This window comes from Homo sapiens, chromosome 14 (assembly GCF_000001405.40).
Source record: "Homo sapiens chromosome 14, GRCh38.p14 Primary Assembly".
Classification (NCBI taxonomy): Eukaryota; Metazoa; Chordata; class Mammalia; order Primates; family Hominidae; genus Homo; species Homo sapiens.
The window spans coordinates 95,244,417-95,267,080 of record NC_000014.9 but is presented as its reverse complement, the minus strand read 5'-3'; the positions used below and the strand labels follow the sequence as shown (position 1 = coordinate 95,267,080).

The following is a 22,664-nucleotide window of genomic DNA, read 5'->3' as shown; positions in this document are numbered from 1 at the left end:
TCTTTTAGTGGGTTCATAGTTTTAGGTCTTAAAGTCTTTAGTTCATTTTGATTTGATTTTTGTATGCTCAGAAATAGGAGTCTAGCTTTATTCTTTGGCATATGGTTATGCAATTTTCCCAGCACCACTTATTAAAGAGACTGCCCTTTCCCCATTTTGGCCCCTTTGTCAAAAATAAGTTGGCTGTAAATTCATGATTTATTTCTGGGTTCTCTATTCTGTTTCATTGGTCTTTGTGTCTTTTTTTATGCCAGTTACCATGCTGTTTTGGTTACTTGGCTTTGTACTGTATTTTGAAGTCAGATAGTGTGATGCCTCCAACTGTGTTCTTTTTGCTTAAGAGTGCGTTGGCTATTCAGGGTCTTTTGTGAATTTTTAGAAATTTTAGAATTTTTTTATATTTCCATGAAGAAAGTCATTGGTATTTTGATAGGGATTGCACTGAGTCTGTAAATCACTTTGGGTGATCTTGACATTTTAATATATTAATTCTTCCAATCCATGAACATGGAATATCTTTCCATTGTTTTGTCTTCTTCAGTTTCTTTCATCAGTGTTTTATAGTTTTCCTTGTAGCCATCTTTCACTTGGCAAAATCTATACCTAGGTATTTTATATTTTTATAGCTATTGTAAATGGGATTGCTTTCTTGATTTCTTTTTCAGATTGTTTGCTTTCGTCATATAAATGCTACTGATTTTTGTATGTTGGTTTTGTATTCTACAACTTTACTGAATTTATCAGTTCTAACATTTTTTGGTGGAGTCTTTAGGTTTTTCTAAATGCAAGATTATGTTGTTTTATATTTAAAGACAAGGATAACTTGACTTCGTTTTCCATTTGGATGCCCTTCGTTTCTTTCTTTTGCCTAATTGCTCTAGCTAGGACTTCCAGTACTATGCTGAATAAAAGTAATGACAGTGGACATCCTTGTCTCGTTCCAGATCTTAGAGGAAAGACTTTCAATTCAGGGGAAGCATACTTTTAGATACGCATTTGTAAATTCCCAAATCAAAGGACTGTGGCACTACCTGCTTACTCCCACTCAAATCTAAAGCTGATGACCAGGTGGGGTGGTCCCATCCTCTGGCATCTTGTGCCTCGACGGTGGCTTCTCCAGTGGCCCGTGTGTGAGATGTCTGGTTTCATCAGGAGATGGCTGGTTGTTGCAGCTGCCAAGAGGATTGTGTTGTGGAGCTGTTGCTATAGAGAAAATCTGATTACATTCAAACTCAAGCTCATTAAATCAGAATTTTCTTCTTCCTCAAGGCTGGAGAATGTCACTAGGAGGCCCTTCCTCTTTCTGCCTTCTTCAGGAAGGTAAACGTTCAACAGGGCTCTGTCTGAGCATGAAAAGAATGCCTTGTTTCTTCTGATCCTAGCCAGCTGCTCGGAATATGACTCACCAGGAAGTGAAAGTGAGAAATTGATATGGTTGGGCAATTGCAAATACTCACAGATGGTCTGATTCACAGGTAGTGCCTTCTCCTCTTTGTAGCACGCACTGTGCCAGGAGTCATACCTATGCATATTAGTCAGGGGTCTCCAGAGAAACAGCCAAGAGGATGAGTCTACATACAGAGAAAGACACTTATTTTAGGGAATTGGTTTATGCAATTGTGGAGTTTGGCGAGATCAAAGTCAGTAAGGTAGGTCAGCAGGCTGGAGACGCAAGGAAAAGTTGCAGTTTAAGTCTGAAGGCACCTGCTGGCAGAATTCCTTCTTGCTCAGAGGAGGTCACGCTTTGTGTTAAGGCTTTAACTGATTAGATGGAGCCCACCCACATTTGATGGAGGGCCGTCTGCTTTTCTCAAAGTCAGCTGGGGATTTTTTTTTTTTTGATTCAGAGTCTCACTCTTTCACCCAGGCTGCAGTGCTGTGGCACAGTCTCGGCTCACTGCAACCTCTGCCTCCCAGGCTGAGACCCTCTCAGCCTCACCCTCCCAGAGCAGCTGGGACTACAGGCATGCACCACCATGCCTGGCTAATTTTTGTATTTTTTTTGTAGAGACAGGGTTTTGGCATGTGGTGGTCTCAAACTCATGGGCTCAAACAGTCCTCCTGCCTTGGCCTCTCAAAGTGCTAGGATTATAGACATGAGCCACTGCAACCACACCTGGCTAATTTTTTTTTTTTTTTTTGGTAGAGATGGAGAGTTATCATGAGATCTGACGGTGTTTTGGTAGATCCATGTTGCCCAGGCTGGTCTCAAACTCCTGGATTCAAGTGATCCTCCTGCCTTGCCCTCCCAAAGAGCTGGGATTATAGGTGTGAGCCACTGCGCCCAGCCTTCAAAGTGTGATTTAGATGTTAATCTTACCTAAAAAACGACTTCACAGAAACATCTAGAATAATGTTTGACCACATCTCTGGGTGCCATTGCCTGGTCACGTTGACACATAAAAGTAACCATCACACTGTGTTTATTCTAAACATGCTCATAGAAGTGGGGGCTTTCCTGTGAAGGGCATGGACCCTGGGAGGCCTGGATGTGAGTCTTTCCTCCTTCATTTTCTAGTAGTGTAACCTTAGCTTCTGCGCGCCTCTGTGGTCTTGTAAACACACTAGCCATTTATTGAGCCCTCTGTACTGAGCATGGTGGATTTGTGATTCTCCCTGAGCTTAAAGACTGAATGTTTTACGGGACTAACCCAGGGTTGTACAGCTGCTAAGTGGGGCCTCGAATCCAGTTCTGGCACTCCGAGGTCACAAGGCTGGCTGAGGATTTATTAAAATAAGATGCAGGGGTCCGGCACAGTGGCTCATGCCTATAATCTCAGCACTTTGGGAGGCCAAGGCAGGCAGATTGCTTGAGCCCAGGAGTTCCAGCCTGGGCAACATAGTGAAATCCTAGCTGTACAAAAATTACAAAAATTAGCCAGGCATATTGATGCATGCCTGTAGTTCCAGCTACTCAGGAGGCTAAGGTGGGAGGATCGCTGGAACCCAGGAGGTCAGGGCTGCAGTGTGAGCTGAGATGGTGCCACTGCAGTCCAGCCTGGGTGACAGAGTGAGACCCTGTCTCAAATAAATAAATAAATAAATAAATAAATAAATAAATAAATAAATAAAGTAATAAGGTGCAAAGTAATAAGGTAGGTGTGTTGAATACCAAGTTGGGAATGGTGGTCATGAATCCGGACTCAGAGGGTCTGAGGTCATGATGATACTAGTGACAATGACCATAACCGACACTCACTGGGCATTTGCTGTGCCAGTCACTTGTGTGAGTTCTTCACAGGCACTAACTCATTTAATCCTCACAACAACCCCCCAAGGTGGGCACTGCCATTATCCCCATTTTCCAGAAAATTGAGGCACAACTTACAAAATGTATCCGAGGTTTCCTTTCTTCTCCCAGCCACCCCCACCTCATCTCTTTGGCTGCTCTAGGCTCTGCAAAGCCTGTCTCATGCCCTTCCAGCTGGAACATCCAGTTATGCTACCTGTGAATTCATATTCCAAGTAACGTTTAGGGCTCCATTGCCAAACTCCTGCATTGAGGTGAAGTGGGCAGATGCCTCCCGCTCCTTTTCCTGGGTCACACCGGAACCCTTTTGCTAGGTGGATGTGGCTACTTCATTCCCTCATCAGTGTCTGGATCTTTCAGGCTTGTAGGTGCCAGACCCCAGTGGGTAATAGGGTTTGGCTGTGTCCCCACCCAGATCTCATCTTGAATTGTAGTTCCCATAATCCCCACGTGCCATGGGACCAACCTGGCGGGAGGTAATTGAATCATGGGAGCAGTTACCCCCATGCTGTTCTCCTGATAGTGAGAGAGTTATCATGAGATCTGATGGTTTTATAAGGGGTCTTTTCCCCTTTGTTTGGCACTTCTCCTTGCTGCTGCCACGTGAAGAGGACGTATTTGCTTCTCCTTCACCTTCCACCATGATTGTAAGTTTCCTGAGGCCTCCTCCGCCATACTGAACTGTGAGTCAATTAAACTTATTTCCTTTATAAATTAGCCAGTCTCGGGTATGTCTTTATTAGCAGCATGAGAACAGACTAATACAGGGAGCCACATATGCGCTGGGCAGTTGGTTTGGGTGGCACAGGCTGAGCCTGGGAGCCACTGTCACTGCAGGGTGGTTAAGAGCTGTGCTCTGAGACCATGGCCTAGTTTTGCTCCTACCTCCCAGAAGAACAAGCTGCGTGGCCTTGGACACATGACTTGACTCTCTGAGGCCAACTTTCTCATCCAGAAAATGGGGAGGCTGGGCACAGTAGCTCATGCCTGAAACCCCAGTACTTTGGAGGTCAAGGCAGGAGGATTGCTTGAATCCAGGAGTTTGAGACCAGACTGGGCAACATAGGGAGACCCTGTTTCTAGAAAAAATACAAAAATTAGCCGGGCATGGTGGCACATACCTGTAGTCCCAGCTACTCGGAAGGCTGAGGTGGAAGGATCACTTGAGCCTGGAGAGGATGAGGCTGCAGTGAGCCATGATCACACCACTATACTCCAGCCTGGACAATAGAGTAAGATCCTGTCTCAAAAATAAATAAATAAATGAAATGGGAAAAAGAGTAGGCCCTACCTTGAACTTACCAAGATTGGATACGATACTGTCTCTAAAGCCCTAAGCACAGTGCCTGCCTGACACATAACAAGTGCTGCAGAAGTGGTAGCTATTTTTATTAGGCATTTCATAAATGTCACGTGGATATCTTTTGGTTGACTCTTTGCTTGTTCTAGATTATTTTTCAGGTCGCTGCTTGCTGAGTTGTCCTCTGGTCACTGGGAATGTATTTATTTTGTTGTTCTTCTGTTGAACAGAACAGCTGGCAGAGTGGTTTTCAGTAGCCAGGCCAAAAACTCAGTGAACCCCAGCGCAGGTACAGGGCTCTGAGAAAACATCAGCTCAGTGAGAGTCCCCTGGAGCCCAGCTCTGAGAATAGCTTTAATGCTTTTGAACAGGTGATGACATCGGGTTGCTGGCTGTCCAAACGATGTGGGGAGACACGTGGAGAGTTCAGATTGATTTGCCAGGATGTTTGGGAGCATTTGGGAATACAGGCGTGGACGCTGGCCCAGCCCCAGCGCCTGTCAGCCAGGCACAGCCAGGCCTTTGATGCGGGCCCTCCTGAGCCCAGAGCCAAGCTGCCGCTTGGAGGAAAAATTTCCAGGACAGGCATCTGGGGGACAAAGCTGCTCGCAGGTTGTCAGGACTCATTCCCTCTGAGTGAGGCTGATGGATACTCATAGAGGCCAGGGACGCAGAAGCCAGTGATGACTTCCAGGTTCTTGCTGCAGGGGGGCATGGGCTGTGGGGATCCCCATGTCATCTGGGGCATAACTGCCCAATGGGCAGATGAGAGGAGCGGGTGGACCTGTGGGCATCTTGGGAAGGCCAGGCTTGGAAGAGCCATCCTTCCCGACAGCAGTTGTGTGGTCTCCAGGTCGCAATGCAGAGGCACAGGTCCTCTAAAACTGGTGACTCTCACTGCTGAGAGTGACTGCTCATTCCATTCCATTCCCTGATAAGTGTATTTTCTCTGCAGGGAATATTGCAGCCTTTCTGCACTTCAGCACTATACCTGAGGGCCGTTTTAGATAGCAAGATGCCCAGGAGAAACTACAAAAATGCAAAAACCATGGCAGTAACATGACATTTGTAGCTACAAATCCATTTTAGAGAGTAGACCAGTTTACAAAGACAGAATCCGGGAATTCACCCACTCTCTGAAATGTATTTGTGTCTCCACAATCAGTGCTCGTCTTTCACGGAGGTGCGCAAAGCGGCATAAAGTCTGAGCAGCCAGACGCGCACGTTCCCAGCGGAGGTGAAACGAGGCAATGGGCCTCGGCCTTCTGCTTCAGCTCTCAAACTATAAATAAGTGTCCTTTCCACAGCTTACTTAGTGCCACTTTTTTTTTTTTTTTTGCATTTGTGTGCTTTCTCTCGGTGATCTTGCCGTTTAAAACAGCCCCCAGTCAGAGTCCGGAAGTGCAGAAAGGCTCTGACGTTCCTTGCGGAGAAAATACATGTGTTCAGTAAGCTTCGTTCAGGGATGAGTTACAGCGCTGTTGGCCATGAGTTCAGTGTTAGTGAGTCATCAATGCATATTCAATAAAGTCTCCTTAGACAGAAACACACATGAAACAAGAGTCAAGGGTATGTATTGGTTGGTTGGAAAAAATTTGTAACCAGAGGTTTGCAGGAACCTAATACTGTATTTCCACAAAAACAATGATTCAGTATTCACAAGTCAGGGTTGACCACAACTTCATAGAATATCATACTGTGAATGATGAGAATCAACTGTATTTCATTTGGACAATGGAGATAAACTGGGTTGTGTAGTCACTCAATACCTGAGTCAAAGACACTTCCACCAGGAAGCCTCCCATGGTCACACCAGCCTCCAAGGATCGTTTCCCACCCACACCAACTCACCCCACAATATGTATTGTGTTTACCATTGATTTCACATTTGACATGGACTGTAAGATATTAGTCACACTTCCCACAAGCCTTCTGTTATTGTGTGTCAAAATCACAAGCTCCCTGAAGACTAAGGATGTGTCTAAGATAACGTCTCCACTCATAGCAGGCAATATTGTAAGTGCTTGATTCTTTCAACAAACATTTTATTCAGTAATTTGTTTGTTGGATCCATTCTTTTTTTTTTTTTTAGACAGAGTCTGGCTCTGTTGCCCAGGCTGGAGTGCAGTGGCGCCATCTCGGCTCACTGAAAGCTCCGCTTTCTGGGTTCACACCATTCTCCTGCCTCAGCCTCCCGAGTAGCTGCGACTACAGGCGCCCGCCACCTCGCCCAGCTAATTTTTTTGTATTTTTAGTAGAGATGGGGTTTCACCGTGTTAGCCAGGATGGTCTCGATCTCCTGACCTCGTGATCTGCCTGCCTCGGCCTCCCAAAGTGCTGGGATTACAGGCGTGAGCCACTGCGCCTGGCTTTTTGATCCATTCTTCTAGTGAACCAATATGCAGGACAGAATGAATGAATGAATGATATGCTTACTGAACACCTGCCATGTGCCAGATGCCCACAGGAGGATGCAGAGTCGTGGGTGCTGCAATAGCAGGGAGTGGAAAGGAAGTGCCACCCCTATCTTAGGGAGGGCAGCCAGAGGAATTTGACGAGCAGGTGGAGAAGTGCAGGGAGAGAGTGCCAGACAGCAGGAACAGCGTGTGCAAAGGCCTGGAGCCCCAGGCAAGCAGGCATATTCAGGAGCCACCAAGCGCAAGGGAATAGCCGTCCAGGTGGGTGTGGGGAGAGGAAACGCAGGTGCAGCTGGCCATGCATTTTAATGCTGAAGAGTCCTGAGTGAAGAAGAACCTTTGAGGGGTTATGCATGCCATGGTTTTGAGTTTGCATGTCATTACTTTTGTGCTCAGTGAACTCAACAGCAGATGCCCATAGTTCAGAACAGGTATCTGCCCTGTGCTGGTCCCACCTGGGGGTGGGGGTGGGCCCTGTGCAAGTGATCTCCTCTCCTAGCCCCCAACCAGGCACAAAAACAGGATTCCCAAACAGATCAAGATCTCGTTTCCCTGGCCTGCTCCCAGCAGCTCTGTGGGAACTACAGCCTGTCTCGTTTCCTCCCAGATGTTTCTTGAAACTCCAGGAGGGGCCCAGGAAGAGGTGGGTGGGGGTTTCCTCCGTGTCCTCATAAAGTGCACATTCTGGTAACCCGGAGGTTTGTCCACGCACATTTCCTTCTCCGTTCTGGTGCCCAAGGTCAGGCCTGGTGAGTGGGGAGCCAGTGGACGGCCAGGGTCCAGCCTGCTGTCAGCTCTGTCGCATCTCCCAACCAAACATATGTGTTTACCCCTCCATTCCCACTGACATTGGGGAAGAGCAGTGGTTGTCTATACCTCTGACACTAGGAGGCCGGCCCACTGCTTTCCTAGCCCTGCTGGCCGGCACAGCTCTCCGCTCCAGCCTGCCATGCAGCACCAACTCCCTGAGTGCACACCCCACTTCACACACACAGATGCACATAGCACACCACAGCACACATAAACACACAACACATATCACACATACATACAAACACATTCTCCACACACCACACCACACAAACACACACAACACATATCACACATACATACAAACACACTCTCCACGCACACACACCACACACCATACACACAAACACATACTCCATTCACTCACAAACCACACATATACACATATCCTCCACATACACACACACCCTCCACACACACACCACAGATACATACACATACCACACACACACCACAGATACATACACATACCACACACAAACACACCTTCCACATACAACCACACCACACATACACACCCTCCACACACACACCACAGATACATACACATACCACACACACACCACAGATACATACACATACCACACACAAACACACCCTCCACACACAACCACACACCACACATATACACATATCTCCACATACACACACCCTCCACACACACACCACACACCACACATACACACCTTCCGCACATATACCACAGATACATACACACCACATACACATACCCTTCACACACAACCACACCACACATACAAACACATCCTCCGCACACATCACACACCACACATACACACCCTCAACACACACACCACAGATGCATATACCACACACAAACACACCCTCCACACACAACCACACCACACATACAAACACATCCTCTACACACACCACACAGATCACACACACACCACACATACACATATACACACCCCCACACAAACATACCATACACCACACACCACACATACACATACACACACCCCACACACACACATACACCACACACACACCACACACACGCCCCCACATGTCACAGATACATACATATACATCATACATATGTACACACCATGCACACCACACACACCACATCATATGCACTATGCATACATATACACACACCCCACATATACACAACACTACACGCATATCATATCCCCACACAAACACACATAAACACTGCACATGTGCTGAATACACATTCCCCACACCCCACACAAGCACACACACCTCACGCATACCACCTATTCTGCACACTCGCACCACACTCATGCCCACAGCCCCCACATGTACACACACCACACACTTCACACACACCATAGCTGACTCTTGTACTTTTGCCTCTGCCCCTCTCTACAGTCTGTCCAGTTCTCTCTTATTGTCTGGACCGACTTTCTCTACCAAGCGGGAAATGAGGCCTCCTTTAACCCCCAAGTTCTGGTCTCATGGCTTCAGTCCTGAGTCCAAATCTCTCAGGGAAGAGGCTCAGCATAGGTCCTGCGTCCTCTAAGTCAGTCCAACTGGGACTGGGAGGACCAGGGTGCTGAGATGCGGCAGAGACAAGGCCTAGGACTTGGAAGTCTTACTAGAACATGGTAGCTCCGCACCCCGCATAGCCACGTGGCTGGGGTGTGAGAGCAAAGAGGCAGGCTGCAAGACAAGGGAGTTTGAACACGTTGTCGTTGAAAGAATTAAACCAGGTGTGTGCCTGAGCACCTTTAGCCCACTGCCTGGCTTCAGAAATGCAAGCTTGCGTGCCGTCCCACCCAGGCCCTTAAATAATACAAGTTAATTGAAAGAGTTTAATTTGAATTAATGAGATTCTGTTAAAATATTGTTAACAGTTAAGTAGATAATTATTCTATGAACAAAACAAATGGCTCCTGCAGGGTCTATGTCAATGAATAGACACCTTCATTTACAGTTGGGATCCTTCAACTCCAACAGAATGATGTAAATCTGTTATTTGCAGAGGATTAATTAAGAGGGAAATGAATAAAAACAGTAACAAACAGGTCCCCGTCTAGATGCAGCGGGCGGTTGACAGCAGGCTCTCGACCGTTGTTTCGATGCAAAGTGTAAATAATGCATTTTGCCCTTACCTTTGCCTTCTCCGACTTAACTCGTGCAAACGTCAACCCAGGATGAAAGATCACGCATTCTAATTTAACGAAGCTTTATGGATAATGGGCCTCGTCGTATTAAATATTTTTGGTCTGAAGAAACCCCTGGGTGGCATTTAAGGCTGTCTCATCAAAGCGCCTCTCCCTCCTCTGTGTCCCCCTCCTGTCTGTCAAGGAGCGTGGGCTTAACCAGTCTCAGAACACATCATTCATCATTAGATGCCACCCAGCCTTTGCCCTTGCTGTTCCCAACATGGAGAATGCCCTCTCCTTTTCCCTATCTGCTAACACCGCATGGGGCCTTCAAGCTCCTGCTCCAATTCTGCCCCTGACCCAGGAGGCTTAGTGGCCCTGTCCACTGACAGCTCTTCTCCTGCCATCCCCAGTTTCCCCATGTCTGTTTTCCCGGTGCAATGTGGACCAGGGCCCTACATTTGGCAATTTCTCTCCCATCCCAGCCTAGACACACGCCATGTTCAGTTTCGTTTTGAAATGAACAAATGAAGGACTCTAGCCAGGAGTCACCTGGTCTTCTTTCTGGTCATGTAAGTGTCTTGCACAGTTCCACGTGGGATGGGTATTGACGAGGCGGTTGTGCAGAGCCACACTCAGCAAGCTGGTGGCAGTTACCCTGCCGTGGGCCCAGCAGCAGGTGGGAGGTACTCCAGGAGGCCAGCTCCTTCACAGGGAGCAAACTGTGTCAAAACGTGTTCACAAAGAAGGAGTTAGAGTGCTTCTCAGTGTCAAGCACTGCAATTATCTGTTGAGTCACAGTGTCGTTGGTAGCAATTTCCTCAGCCAAGATTCATTGTTGCTGACAAAACAAGGAGGGTTCCATCCCATTAAACATTCATGAAGCCTGATCAGTCTGTGCTCTTTTGTGAATAGAACTGGGTTTTAAAGGAGGCAGGGAGTGCTGTGAAGTCCTTCCCAACTGGGTGCCGAGGAGTGGGTGGCGGGCCTCGGTTGGGTGTGCCCGTGGCGAGGACAGTGTGGGGGCATTGTACCCCATATGCCCACCCATGTAACTACCCTGTAGCCCAGTGGTTCAGAACTTGGGCTCAAATTACCATTCTGCCCACTTCTAGCTGTATGACTGCAGGCAAGTTCGTTAAGCTTTCTGTGCCTCAGTTTCCTCATTTGTAAAATGGGGATAAGGATAGTAGCTGCCTCATAGGGTTAAAAGAATACGGATTAAAGGAATTAATTTAGGCAAAGAGCTTATACTAGTACTGTCAGTTCTGCTATAACATGGTACATGTGCTCCTAAACATCGCCACACTCATGCACAAAAATAAGGGAAAATAACACTGGAGTGCAGCACTCAAAAACTTCATGAGGGATGCATTAAAAAAACATGGGAACCTAGTAAAAACAATAGAACTGTTGAGTGGTTAAGAAATGCGTCAGTGCTACACTAAATACGGCACTGACTTGAGGAAGGCCTGAAGCTTGCTCCTGAAGTGGGCGTGGGAGGGGTGTGGCTTGTGAATTGTGAAAGGGTGGAAGGAAGGTGACCCGATGGAAATCAGACAGAAAGCTGTGTATTCATTTGCTAAGGCTGCTGGAACAAGTACCCTACTGCCTCCTTCTCTGCAGGGGATGCGTTCCAAGAGCCCCCAGGGATGCTTGAAACTGCAGATAGTGCCGAACCCTATATGTACTATGCTTTTTCCTGCACATACATATGTATGATAAAGTTCAATTTATAAATTAGGCACAGTGAGAGATTAACAACAATGACTAATAAAATCAATGATAACAAGACCCTGTAATGAAAGTCAGGTGAATGTTCTCACCCTCTCTCTCAGAACATCTTCTTGCACCATACTCACCTATTTTCAGACCCCAGATGACTGCTAGCAACTGAAGTCACAGAAACTGAAACTGCAGATGGGGGGAACTACTGTACCCCAGGTTGGGTGGCTTAACCAACAGAAATGTATTTTCCTATAGTGCTGGAGGCTGGAAGTCCAGGATCAAGGTGCCGGCAGGGGGCTTCCTCTGAAGCGCTCTCCTTGGCTTGCAGATGGCCGTCCCCTGCCCCTCCTCTCATGGTCATCCCTCTCTGTGCATGCACCCCTGGTGTTTCCTGGAGTGTTCAATTGTCCTCTTCTTATAAGAACACTGTCAGGTTGGATTAGAGCAAATGCGAAAGGCCTCGTTTTAACTTAATCACCTCTTTAAAGATCCTAGCTCCAGGCCAGGTGGGGTGGCTCAATCCCAGCAAGGTGGGAGGATCACTTGAACCCAGGAGTTCAAAACCAGCCTAGTCAACATAGCGAGACCCTGTCTCTACAAAAGAAACTATTTTAAATTAGCCAGGCATAGTGGCACACACCTGGCTACTGGGGAGGCTGAGTCCAGCGGATCACTTAAGCCCTGGGAAGTTGAGGCTGCAGTGAGCCGTAATTGCACCACTGCACTCCAGCCTGGGTGACAGAGCAAGACTCCATCTCAAAAAAATTTTAAAAAGATCCTATCTTGAATAGTATTGTCACATTCTGGCTCCTTGGGTTAGGACTTGAACATCTGGATTGTGGGAGGGTGGGGGAGAACACCGTTCAGCCCATAACACGTCACAGGATTTGATATGGATGGGGTGCCTCATAACGCACGCAGGGAGCCAAGGGGGCTGGTGGACGTCCAAGTGTGTGTGCACGAGGCTTCGGTATGTTGGGAGCAGGGTATATTCTACACAGCTCCACTCTGCTCGTCAGCTGGGTGCAGAGCTTTATGAATTCTATGCCCATCTAGTGTTTCTCAGGAATGAAATTGTACATCAGCAAATGCCAAGTTTATGTCATGCTTAAATTTTTCCCTACTATGTCAAATGCTTTGGAACCAATTTGCATTTTCTAACCGCCGTCCTAGCAGAACTGGCTGCACCCGCTGTCTAGTGAGTGCTATACACTGCTGACCTTGGGGGGTGGCCTTGGCTCCTGGGTCATGGGTGGGGCTGGGTCTGCCCCAAGCACATCATCCTCACAACTGCACGATGGGTGAGAAAGGACAGCTGGGATCATCACCCCCGTTACATAGATGGGGACAAAGGTCCAGACCTGAGACTCTGAGACTCACACAACAGTGGTGCTGCTAGGAGGGGACCCCAGGCCCTTTCCATCTTGACAGGGGTTCTCGGATCTGCCCATGGGTAGAATTGGCCCACAGTGAGCTATTAAACATACAGATTCCCAGGCTTCTCCAGTTGGCATTTGGATCTTTTCAGTCAGGTCCTGGGCCTAAAAAACTGTGTTAATGGGCCTTGTGCAGTGGCTCACGCCTGTAATCCCAGCACTTTGAGAGGCCGAGGCGGGCGGATCAGGAGGTCAGGAGATCGAGACCATCCTGGCTAACATGGTGAAACCCCGTTTCTACTAAAAATACAAAAAAAATTAGCCAGGAGTGGTGGCGGGCACCTGTAGTCCCAGCTACTGGGGAGGCTGAGGCAGGAGAATGGCGTGAACCCGGGAGGCGGAGCTTGCAGTGAGCCGAGATCGCGCCACTGCACTCCAGCCTGGGCAACAGAGAGAGACTCTGTCTCAAAAAAAAAAAAACAAAAAAACAAAAAAACACTGTGTTAATGAGCCTCCCAGGTCATTCTTATGACATGACTGGGCCATATTAGGTGACACTGTCCTCCATCTCCCTGCATTCCCTGCATGCGAGACTTGATCCATATTTGTAATTGTGATGCTAAAGATGTCATTTCCTGTGTGAATGAGCCGTCCTTCCTGAGGGGAACTGTCTCACCACCAAGCTGGCCTTAACCCTTAGGAGGTTATGTGGACTGGGCACAGTACTCAGGCCATGGAGCGGAACCCTGTGCTCTTGCTCCCTGACTGTGAGATCTTGGGCAAGTTACAACCTGGAGGGGTAAGCGCTGTGAGTCCCATTTTACAGATGTATAAACCGAGGCATCCATGAGCTAATTTATAGAAAGAACTCCACTTCGTGCAGGCAGAAGCTTCCTTCCTCAGTTCCTTTGTCCTTTCCAATGTGGGTGGTCAGGGGCCACAGTGGGCATGGAGCTCAGGAGGGTTTTTGGAGGGGAAGATGCCTGGAGTTTGCCAAATTGCCAAGGTCCACACAAGACCACTCTTGTTTCTGGCACCAACTGCAAGTTCAGGGGGGTTCCTAAAATCACCCTCAGTTTCTATCATTCCATCAGAAGTACTCAGTGAACTCACTGAACACTGTTATACTTCACAGTTACGGCTTATTCCAGGGCATGGCTTCAGATTAAAATCAATGCAAGCAAGAGATGCGTAGGGCAAGACTGGAAGGGTTCCCGATGCAAAGCTCCCCATGTGTCCTCCCCATGGGGGCAGGATGCTTTACCCTCCCGGCATCACACGTGACAGCACTCACTGAATATTGCCAACTGGGGAGACTCACTTGGGTTTCCACTGGGGCTTCATTACAGAGGCATGGCTGATGATTGATTGATTGCTTGGGTGGTTGAACTCAGTCTCCAGGACTCCTGAGACTGTGTGACCTTAAAACCTCCACTCTAAATCACAGGGCAGGTCTTTCTGGATTGGCGGCCAGTCCCCACCCTAAGCCTGTTGGGTGTAGCCATTCCCACACTAAGGTCCTTCGTAGTCAGAACTCTTCTCAAATGTGACATAAATTACCCACCAGAAGCCAAGGGCGCAGACCAGATGTCTCTCAGCTACTCGTAAGCAATGAGTCTTGCTTGGACTGATGGGTGAACATTCAAGGTGCTCATTCAGATGCAGGGCTGGCACTGTCCAATCTTTGTTCACTGCCACGTGTCAGATTCCAAGCACTTTGTAAATACCAGCTCTCATTTTATCTTCAAGGCAACCCTGCAATGCTGTGGGCTCTCATTATCCCCACTTTCCGTATGGGGACAGTGAGGGGGAGCAGCTTTCCCACCCTCTCAGAGCTGGTAAATGGTCGAGGCCAGGCAGCCTGGTTCTGAGGGCCTGCACTTGACCCCTGGTTGCTTTGGTTTTTAAATTTTTAAAACATTAATTAGTTGCTGCCCGACTTCAGCTGGCACACTCAGCACCCCCTGTTGCTCCTTTGGTAATTTCCGGCCCCTTGGAGAAGGAAGGACCACCCCGAGTCCACGGTCTTGGGCCCAGACCCAGCAGGACTGGAAGGAAGAGGCGCAGAGCCATAAAGTGGTCTGCAGGGAAGTTATTTTTCAATCAAGTTGGGCTTTGCCTCGCTAATCCTTCTCCTCCATGGGGGCTGAGTGCAGAAAACTCATCTCTGCATAAAGAGACCCCAGGCCTGGCTCGGGTCCTTGGACCCAAGTTTAGAACCTGTGCCTGGAGCTATGAGAATAAGTAAAAGGAAGGGAATGTGTCTCAGAAAACCACTAGGCTCTGAGGAGCTCCAGCACTCCAACAAAAGAGACAGTTGAACAATGGGAAGAGGTGCTGTTCACCAGCAAAGGCCCCACAATTCTCCCTGTGACACTGCATGTTCCCAGAATTACAGCCAATCTTTCTAAGACATTGAGAATATCATTTTTATGTGTGTGACCCTGAGCATAAAATTCCTTTACCTTTCTGAGCCTCAGTTTCCTCCTCTACAAAACAGAGATAATAATACCTATCTCTCAAGTGCCCAGAGCCATGCACAGAACTTAATAAATACAGGTTCCTAGTTTTCACACTCAAGGGTATACAATGACCTTTTTGATTCAGATGCTAGGTCGTCCTCGTTCTGTAACAAAAGAATTGTATTTATACAATCGAAGACATTCAGAATCGGACAAGTAGGGAACAAATGTGTTTTAAAGAGTGCAAAGACCACTTGACTAGGAGACGAGTCCCTTTTACTACATCTCTGATTTTATAGGGTTGGCCGGTGAGAATATGGGATTCGATTCACAGCCAGAATGATTGGATCCCATCCACAAAATGAATATCACATGCAGAGGCACAAAGCTTTCTTAGAATGCAGGATGGTGGGTGGTGGTTTTATCATCATTGTCTAAGAACCAAGAAGATGGACGTTGCCTTTGGCCCTGCGACACCCACCCCCCATTACACACACACATGAGATCATTGAGTGCAGACGCCAAATGCGTATTCCATACCACATGGGAAATAAAAAGTGCACTCAGGAAATCCAGAGGTTAGAGGAGGTGATGTTTGGCTCCAGGTGGTCCCTGGAGCAGATTTCCTGTACTGTCGTTAAGAACCAGCCCTCTCCTAATACCTTTGCAAGATCTCCTAGTCCTTGCCACCTTTTCTAGTGCTTGTCCTTTCCATTCTCCTCCCCTCCCAGCTCCCACATGCAAACATGTAGCTCATCATCTTGAGGCTTTGGGCCAGTCCCCCTATGTTTTTCAGAGGCCCCAAGCAATATACAGTATTCATGAGCCCTTGTTTATGCCTTAGTCCCCTGCATTCGTTCATTCTTTGTACCTGAAGTAAGAGACAGGCTTCCTGACTTAACGGGGTGACCTCCAATAGAGTTAATCTGCAGGGTTTTAGAACCTGGATGACATGCTCTGTAGCTCTTCAGGATGTGTAATTGTTTTGCATTTCTTGCTTTTGGCTCAGCCGCCAATATTTATGAACACTGCATGGCTTTTTGTGAAGAAGTTACATGTGGGGCAACATAACAGAGGGAAGAACACATCCCAGAGAGCCTGTTGCCTGTTATTTGTCTGCCGAGCCATCTTATCTTGAATTATTTTTCTCTGGCTTCATGAGAGAATGGAGTTGGAAGAGTTTTGCAGATTGTAAAGTGCTATAGAATTGCAAGTACCCACAGGCATTTATGCATAAAATGCTTATTACTGAAGTATGTATAGCAGCAGGAAAAAAACATTGGAACTAGCTGAAATATCCAACAATTGGGATATGGTTGAGTAAGCATTCTGTTTACCGTCACACATGATGGGTTTGTAATAACACAAGGATGTCTATTTTATCGTTCACCTGCAAGTAACAAAAACTTGACTTACAATGGCTTCATCAAAGAGGATTTCTTGATCATATACAAATAAGCCCAGAGAGAGACAGCCTGGCCCAGTTCTGGGGCCCAGTAGGGCCATTCAGGAACCAGCTACCTCTGTTCACTGCTCAGTCATTCTTAGCAGTGGCGGTTGTGTAATCCAGCTTCGCACCTTTGTTTTGGGAAGGCAGATTAAAGGAATGGGAACGGGGGCACACACCAGCATTGTCTGCCCCCTTTTAAAAAGCATTCCTGGAACCCCTACTCCCTGAGTTCCACTCCCAGCTCCTTGGCCAAACTTTGTTACATGGCTACCTCTGAGTGCAAGAAGGCTGGGAAATGGTTGTTTTTAAACCAGGAAGATTGCTAACTTGAAATTGGGTTCTGAGTGGGCAGATCATGAAGTCAGGAGATCAAGACCACCCTGGCTAACACAGTGAAACCCCGTCTGTACTGAAAATACAAAAAAAATTAGCTGGGTGTGATGGTGCACGCCTGTAGTCCCAGCTACTTGGGAGGCTGAGGCAGGAGAATTGCTTGAATCCGGAAGGCGGAGGTTGCAGTGAGCTGAGATCGCACCACTGCACTCCAGCCTGGGCGACAGAGGGAGACTCCATCTCAAAAAAAAAAGAAAAAGAAAAGGAAAGAAATTGGGATTCTGTTTGTTAGAAAGAAGGGGAAAATGGATATTGGGGAGGCAACCAGCAGCATCTGTCTCGGTCCACCCCATTAGCTTCCCAAGATATTTGTACATACCCTTTTCCAATACACAGACATGACTCACCTTCTTCCCAAGGGAGAGGGCTACAAAGTTTCATTATGTTATTGCAGCTAGGGTGCAAAGTCCAGGATCGGGCAGGACTGTGCCAGTTTCCCACCAGGTTTGAATGTGTCTGGTTCCTTGTGCTAATCAACTAAAAGACAAGTTATCTGCTCAACATGCAGTGATGAAGAGGAAGCAAGATAAATAGCAGTGACAACGGCTACCATTCAGGAAAGGCGAGAAAAGATATTGGGCAGGCAGCCAGCTGTGTCCACTATGCAGCATACCTTACTGGTGCACACACAATGTGGTCAAAATAGTGTTAAGCCATCAAAAATGCAACAAACGTAGAAGGAAGAATGAAAGGAAATCATTTGTCATAGAATAATTTAATCCATGTGCCTTTTTTTCTGTTGTAATTTTCAATTTTGTTCTACTGTAGATACCCACTCATTTTGTACAAAGAAAATTTTCTTGTCAAATATAACATTTGTAAATATTTCCCCCGATTGGTGTTGAAGACAGAAGATCAGAAATGCTGCACTATGTACAGGGTACATAGTAATTTTTTGTAAATAAAACATAAAACTTTTATCAAATATATACTTATGGTAGAAAAAATATACAGGCAAGCTTATGATAAAAACGTTGTTTCCTATTCCAGTTCCCCCCACTGCAGGCTTGTTTATGCAGGGAAGCCCTTTTATGGCATTTAGACTTTGAAGACAGGATTCTTCCCTTGCAGAAGGGAAGAACTGACTAAAATATTTGAAATTGCAAATAACCACCAAAAGCACGCATCCATCTGCAGAGGGACCCTCCAAGGTGGCAGGCAGCATTGCAGGGGGTGGTGACCTAATTTGGAAGGACTTGGAATACTTCTGCTAATGATTTCCTTGTGGTTTACTGGGACATGCTATGAGTGACATCTGGTGTCCTGGTCAGGGACGAGGTCAACGGACAGTACTGTGTAATGGTTAGGGATGTGAGCTTTAGGGCCAGGCCTGGGGTTCAAACCTCGCTCTCATTTCTTCGATGGGTAACCTAACGTCTCTGTGCCTTGGTTAGCACAGCTGCAAGATGGGGATCAGAAATATTTGAGTCAAGGTCTCTATGTTGCTGTTTTTAACATTCATTGGTTTATTTAAAATTTCCCAATTCTTCTTGCCCTAATTTTGGCATTTTATATTTTCTTAAGAATTTTAGTTATGTTTTCAAACTTTCAGAATACAATGATTTTTTAAAATATTTTAAAAAATTGTCTGAATCAAAGCCCATACATTGCAACGAGCTGGTGTGTCTCTTAAGCCTCTCTTGACAAGTTTCTTTTCCCCTCTTTCCTCTTTTTTTTTTTTCATTTGCAGTTTGCTTATTGAAGAAATTAGTTGAGCTGCTTTTAATTGTAACCAACAGAAACCCATGAGAGCACCATTAAAAAGTTGGATTTACTTTAAGAGTAGCAGAGTTGCATAAACCCAAGGGTTAGGGTGTAGTGGGGCCTCAGGAACTGGCCAGAACAGGTCTCTCTTTTGCATGCTTTCTCTCTCTCTCCTTCTCTCTCTTTTTCTCTCTCTCCTCTTCTCTCATCTCTATGTCTCTCTCTTTCTTCCTTCCTCACTAGTCTTTGCTCTCCAGTCCACGTAGCAGCTAATGGCCTGCACACCATCCCTTTGATTCGAAGGACCAGTCAGTTGGAGTCCAGAATCATAGTCCCATTCTGAATTTCCAAGGAATGGATTCAGGTGCAACCCTGATCCATTGACCACATTGTTGGCTGCCAGGGTCCCAGTGCTCTTACCACGTGGATCAGTGGTAAGGGAGGAGACATCCTTATACAAAAGTGGGTCTGCAGACCCTTCTGGTGTGCACACCATAATGATAGTGCCTGTCTCCTGGGTTGGCTGGGTCAGAGTAAAGGATGAAGTGTGCACAGTGCAGAGCAAAGAGGAAGCCCAAAAGACATGGAGCTGTGCAGCAGAGATCCGACAACCAGCAGCCTCTCGACTCAGGGAGGTTCCTTCATGCCTGATGGCACCATGCGGCACAGCACCTCTTTTCTTCCCAGGGGCCAATCAGATGCAGCACCTTAATTGACCATTTAAATGCCAAGATGGCTGAGCCTTGGCCAAGCATGTGTACATCTGCTGCTCATTATGTAGCCAGGGAAGTTCCCTGGATACCTGAACCTAGGCATAGAAAATGCTGGCCTGGGTGAAATCCCTTCACAGTGGCTCAGTGCCAGAAAAGCACCATGTAGGGACTTCATTCCAGGTCAGAATTCCACCAATATAGCCATAGTGACCCATCCAATCAGGGATGGATGTTCAGAAGGCCCCTTGGGCTGGCACACTGCTGGGTCCCACACTGATTCCTGAGTACCTTCACCCAGGCTGTCATGGTTCTGGCCTGTGAATTCTGTCTGGTGATGTCACTGACATTAACAGCCTGATCAGTACTGTGAACAGCAACTCTGGGAGTCCAGGGGGCAGGTGCAAAGAGGGAGAAGACCTAGATTTTGTTCCTAGAATTGATGAGGTTAGATTCACAGAGTAGCAGTTAAGGTTGCAGCTGGGAAATGAGTGATCTAAACTCTATAAGAATTTGGGGGCAGGGATATTTTAAAATGTGGGTTTTATTATAATTCAGCTATGGTGAGGCCCACAGATCAGGAGACAACTTCCATTTTAAAAAACAGTTTGTGGCCAGGTGCCGTGGCTCACGCCTGTAGTTCCTGCACTTTGGGTGGCTGAGGCAGGAGGATCACGAGGTCAGGAGATTGAAACCATCCTGGCTAACACAGTGAAACCCCACCTCTACCAAAAATACAAAAAATTAGCTGGCGTGGTGGTGGGCGCCTCTACTCCCAGCTACTTGGGAGGCTGAGGCAAGAGAATGGCATGAACCCGGGAGGTGGAGCTTGCAGTGAGCCAAGATGGCGCCACTGCACTCCAGCCTGGGCGACAGAGCGAGACTCCATCTCAAAAAAATAGTTTGTTACTCACAGTTCCCAAGAGGAGGGGGGTGCCACACCATGCAGGGCCCCATGGGAAGCCCCACGGCCCATTAAGTGGCAAAAGGAGAGAGAAGAAAGATGGACAAGAACCTTTCTTGTGGTTTTCACAGGAAGGAATGGGAGAGGCAGGTTCAGCAGGTTTAGGATTGGTAGTTTGAGTGATTTCAGCAGGCTCTGAGCATAGGGGCTGTCCCTAGTTTCCTGGCCTGGCCCTGAGGTAATTAGGGCAGGAAACATTGTCTCAAAGTATAATAGCCTGATAGAGGAAGGGAAAGGTGTGGGCTCTGGATTGTTCGGTTTTCATATGAAAAGCATGTTTCTTGTGAGTTGTGTGCTATTGCTAGGAATCAGTCAGCTCTGGGAGCAGCAGCTTATTTAGTATTAGCAGAGTCCCAGATGTCACAACATCAGAATATGCAAAAAATAAAAAGTCATGATTAATACGAGGGAATATCATAATGGGCATGGTGCGTTTGGAGGCCAAATGCAAAGAGTAGAAAAGGGAGTGGGCTTTCCATCCATCCATCCATCCATCCATCCATCCATCCATTCATCCGTGTGTCCATCCATCCATCCATCCATCCATGCATCCATCCATCCAGCAATCCACCCACCCACCCACCTATCCATCCATCCGTCCATCCATCCATCCATCCAATAATCCAACCACCCACCCACCTATCCATTCATTCATTCATCCATCCATCCACCCATCCATTTATCCATCCACCTATCCATCCATCCATCCATCCATCCATCCACCCACCCACCCACCCATCCATCTATCCATCTACCTATCCATTCATCCATCCATCCATCCACCCACTCACCCATCCACCTATCCATTCATTCATCCATCCATCCACCCACCCATCCATTCATCCATCCATCTCTCCATCCACCTATCCATTCATCCATCTACCTATCCATCCATCCATCTACCCACCCATCCACCTATCCATCCATCCATCCATCCATCCGTCCATCCATCACGCATCTGTACTTACACACCAGGCACTGGGAGGGGGCAAGATACAAAGATTTATAAGACATTCTGCCTACTTATGCATTCACTCATTCATGTGTTCACTTGTTCATTATTATACTCTACATTCTTGGACATTTGAGGTAGCTTACCTGACCCATAAAATAAAATAAAACAAAACAAAACTATATATATATAATATATATATATATATTATATATATATATATAATATATATATATAATATATATATATATATAATATATATATATATTATATATATATATATATATAATATAACCAGTTACAGTTCCTTTTTCACTTTGCGGTCAGGAAATTCATCCTTGAACTTGAAGTCCACCTTTAGCAAATGAGTGAGAATGTGGCCCAAATATTTAGATATTAACCTTCCTTGAACCTAAATTTTCATGAAAATATTCATTGATTTAGATCCTTATGTGTGTGTGTGTGTGTGTGTGTATACACATATATGTGTATATATGCTAAAGGTGGACTTCAAGTTCAAGGATGAATTTCCTGACAGCAAAGTGAAAAAGGAACTGTAGGTGGTTATGAGATTCCTGTTGCCCCAAAGGGGAAATCCTGAATATTTGCAGCAGCCCCCATTGGAAGGGGATCTGTTAGTGATCCCCATTGGAAGGGGATCTGTTAGTGATATGATATGTCCTTCTTTTAGCGCACTAGTGTGTTCTCATCTCCTGCATAGATGCACGGGTTCATCTTCACGTAAAAATTGACCCCTAACAAACCTGTGTCAAAGAACAGTTTTCATAGCATATATAGAGGGAAGAATTATAGTAGTCTTTCAACAAAAGTAACAAAACCTTCCATTGTACTGGATTTTTTAGCAGCCTGAAAAACATTTCTCAAGACTTCCCTGTCAGAATCATCTGATGTAGAGTGTTTCTGTGCGTTCTTAGTTTTTCTATGCGATGTTAAGTTTTGGAGGAACTAGAAATGTTTGACCAGAGGCACCCACAATCAGGTTTCCAGTATCTCAAAGCTTGTCTTGTGGATAAGGAGAAAACTCA

The 22,664-nt window shown here is 46.6% G+C and overlaps 1 protein-coding gene across 5 annotated transcripts in view, besides 12 other annotated features; it reads left to right on the top strand.

The window, feature by feature from the left end:
• CLMN (calmin) overlaps positions 1-22,664 on the top strand; it is a 137,969-nt gene that overhangs the window by 52,828 nt on the left and 62,477 nt on the right. The window lies entirely within an intron of this gene.
• Positions 705-1,904: an enhancer, noted in NCBI's record as "P300/CBP strongly-dependent group 1 enhancer chr14:95731514-95732713 (GRCh37/hg19 assembly coordinates)". NCBI's record gives its function as "activates an origin of replication core promoter dependent on BRD2, BRD4, P300/CBP, MED14 and CDK7 cofactors, with strong dependence on P300/CBP, by STARR-seq in HCT116 cells {active_cell/tissue: HCT116}" and the evidence as "EXISTENCE:reporter gene assay evidence [ECO:0000049][PMID:35650434]".
• Positions 1,135-1,184: an enhancer, noted in NCBI's record as "active region_8953". NCBI's record gives its function as "activates an Ori minimal core promoter by ATAC-STARR-seq in GM12878 lymphoblastoid cells {active_cell/tissue: GM12878}" and the evidence as "EXISTENCE:reporter gene assay evidence [ECO:0000049][PMID:35858748]".
• Positions 1,425-1,474: an enhancer, noted in NCBI's record as "active region_8952". NCBI's record gives its function as "activates an Ori minimal core promoter by ATAC-STARR-seq in GM12878 lymphoblastoid cells {active_cell/tissue: GM12878}" and the evidence as "EXISTENCE:reporter gene assay evidence [ECO:0000049][PMID:35858748]".
• Positions 1,625-1,684: a silencer, noted in NCBI's record as "silent region_6043". NCBI's record gives its function as "represses an Ori minimal core promoter by ATAC-STARR-seq in GM12878 lymphoblastoid cells {active_cell/tissue: GM12878}" and the evidence as "EXISTENCE:reporter gene assay evidence [ECO:0000049][PMID:35858748]".
• Positions 5,164-5,790: an enhancer, noted in NCBI's record as "H3K4me1 hESC enhancer chr14:95727628-95728254 (GRCh37/hg19 assembly coordinates)". NCBI's record gives its function as "activates a minimal SCP1, AML or CMV promoter by ChIP-STARR-seq in primed H9 embryonic stem cells {active_cell/tissue: H9 hESC(primed)}" and the evidence as "EXISTENCE:reporter gene assay evidence [ECO:0000049][PMID:30033119]".
• Positions 6,992-7,662: an enhancer, noted in NCBI's record as "H3K4me1 hESC enhancer chr14:95725756-95726426 (GRCh37/hg19 assembly coordinates)". NCBI's record gives its function as "activates a minimal SCP1, AML or CMV promoter by ChIP-STARR-seq in naive H9 embryonic stem cells {active_cell/tissue: H9 hESC(naive)}" and the evidence as "EXISTENCE:reporter gene assay evidence [ECO:0000049][PMID:30033119]".
• Positions 6,992-7,681: a biological region, named in NCBI's record as "H3K4me1 hESC enhancer GRCh37_chr14:95725756-95726426".
• Positions 7,612-7,681: an enhancer, noted in NCBI's record as "active region_8951". NCBI's record gives its function as "activates an Ori minimal core promoter by ATAC-STARR-seq in GM12878 lymphoblastoid cells {active_cell/tissue: GM12878}" and the evidence as "EXISTENCE:reporter gene assay evidence [ECO:0000049][PMID:35858748]".
• Positions 7,663-8,334: an enhancer, noted in NCBI's record as "H3K4me1 hESC enhancer chr14:95725084-95725755 (GRCh37/hg19 assembly coordinates)". NCBI's record gives its function as "activates a minimal SCP1, AML or CMV promoter by ChIP-STARR-seq in naive H9 embryonic stem cells {active_cell/tissue: H9 hESC(naive)}" and the evidence as "EXISTENCE:reporter gene assay evidence [ECO:0000049][PMID:30033119]".
• Positions 11,066-11,991: an enhancer, noted in NCBI's record as "OCT4-NANOG-H3K27ac-H3K4me1 hESC enhancer chr14:95721427-95722352 (GRCh37/hg19 assembly coordinates)". NCBI's record gives its function as "activates a minimal SCP1, AML or CMV promoter by ChIP-STARR-seq in naive and primed H9 embryonic stem cells {active_cell/tissue: H9 hESC(naive and primed)}" and the evidence as "EXISTENCE:reporter gene assay evidence [ECO:0000049][PMID:30033119]".
• Positions 11,992-12,917: an enhancer, noted in NCBI's record as "OCT4-NANOG-H3K27ac-H3K4me1 hESC enhancer chr14:95720501-95721426 (GRCh37/hg19 assembly coordinates)". NCBI's record gives its function as "activates a minimal SCP1, AML or CMV promoter by ChIP-STARR-seq in naive and primed H9 embryonic stem cells {active_cell/tissue: H9 hESC(naive and primed)}" and the evidence as "EXISTENCE:reporter gene assay evidence [ECO:0000049][PMID:30033119]".
• Positions 12,918-13,844: an enhancer, noted in NCBI's record as "H3K4me1 hESC enhancer chr14:95719574-95720500 (GRCh37/hg19 assembly coordinates)". NCBI's record gives its function as "activates a minimal SCP1, AML or CMV promoter by ChIP-STARR-seq in primed H9 embryonic stem cells {active_cell/tissue: H9 hESC(primed)}" and the evidence as "EXISTENCE:reporter gene assay evidence [ECO:0000049][PMID:30033119]".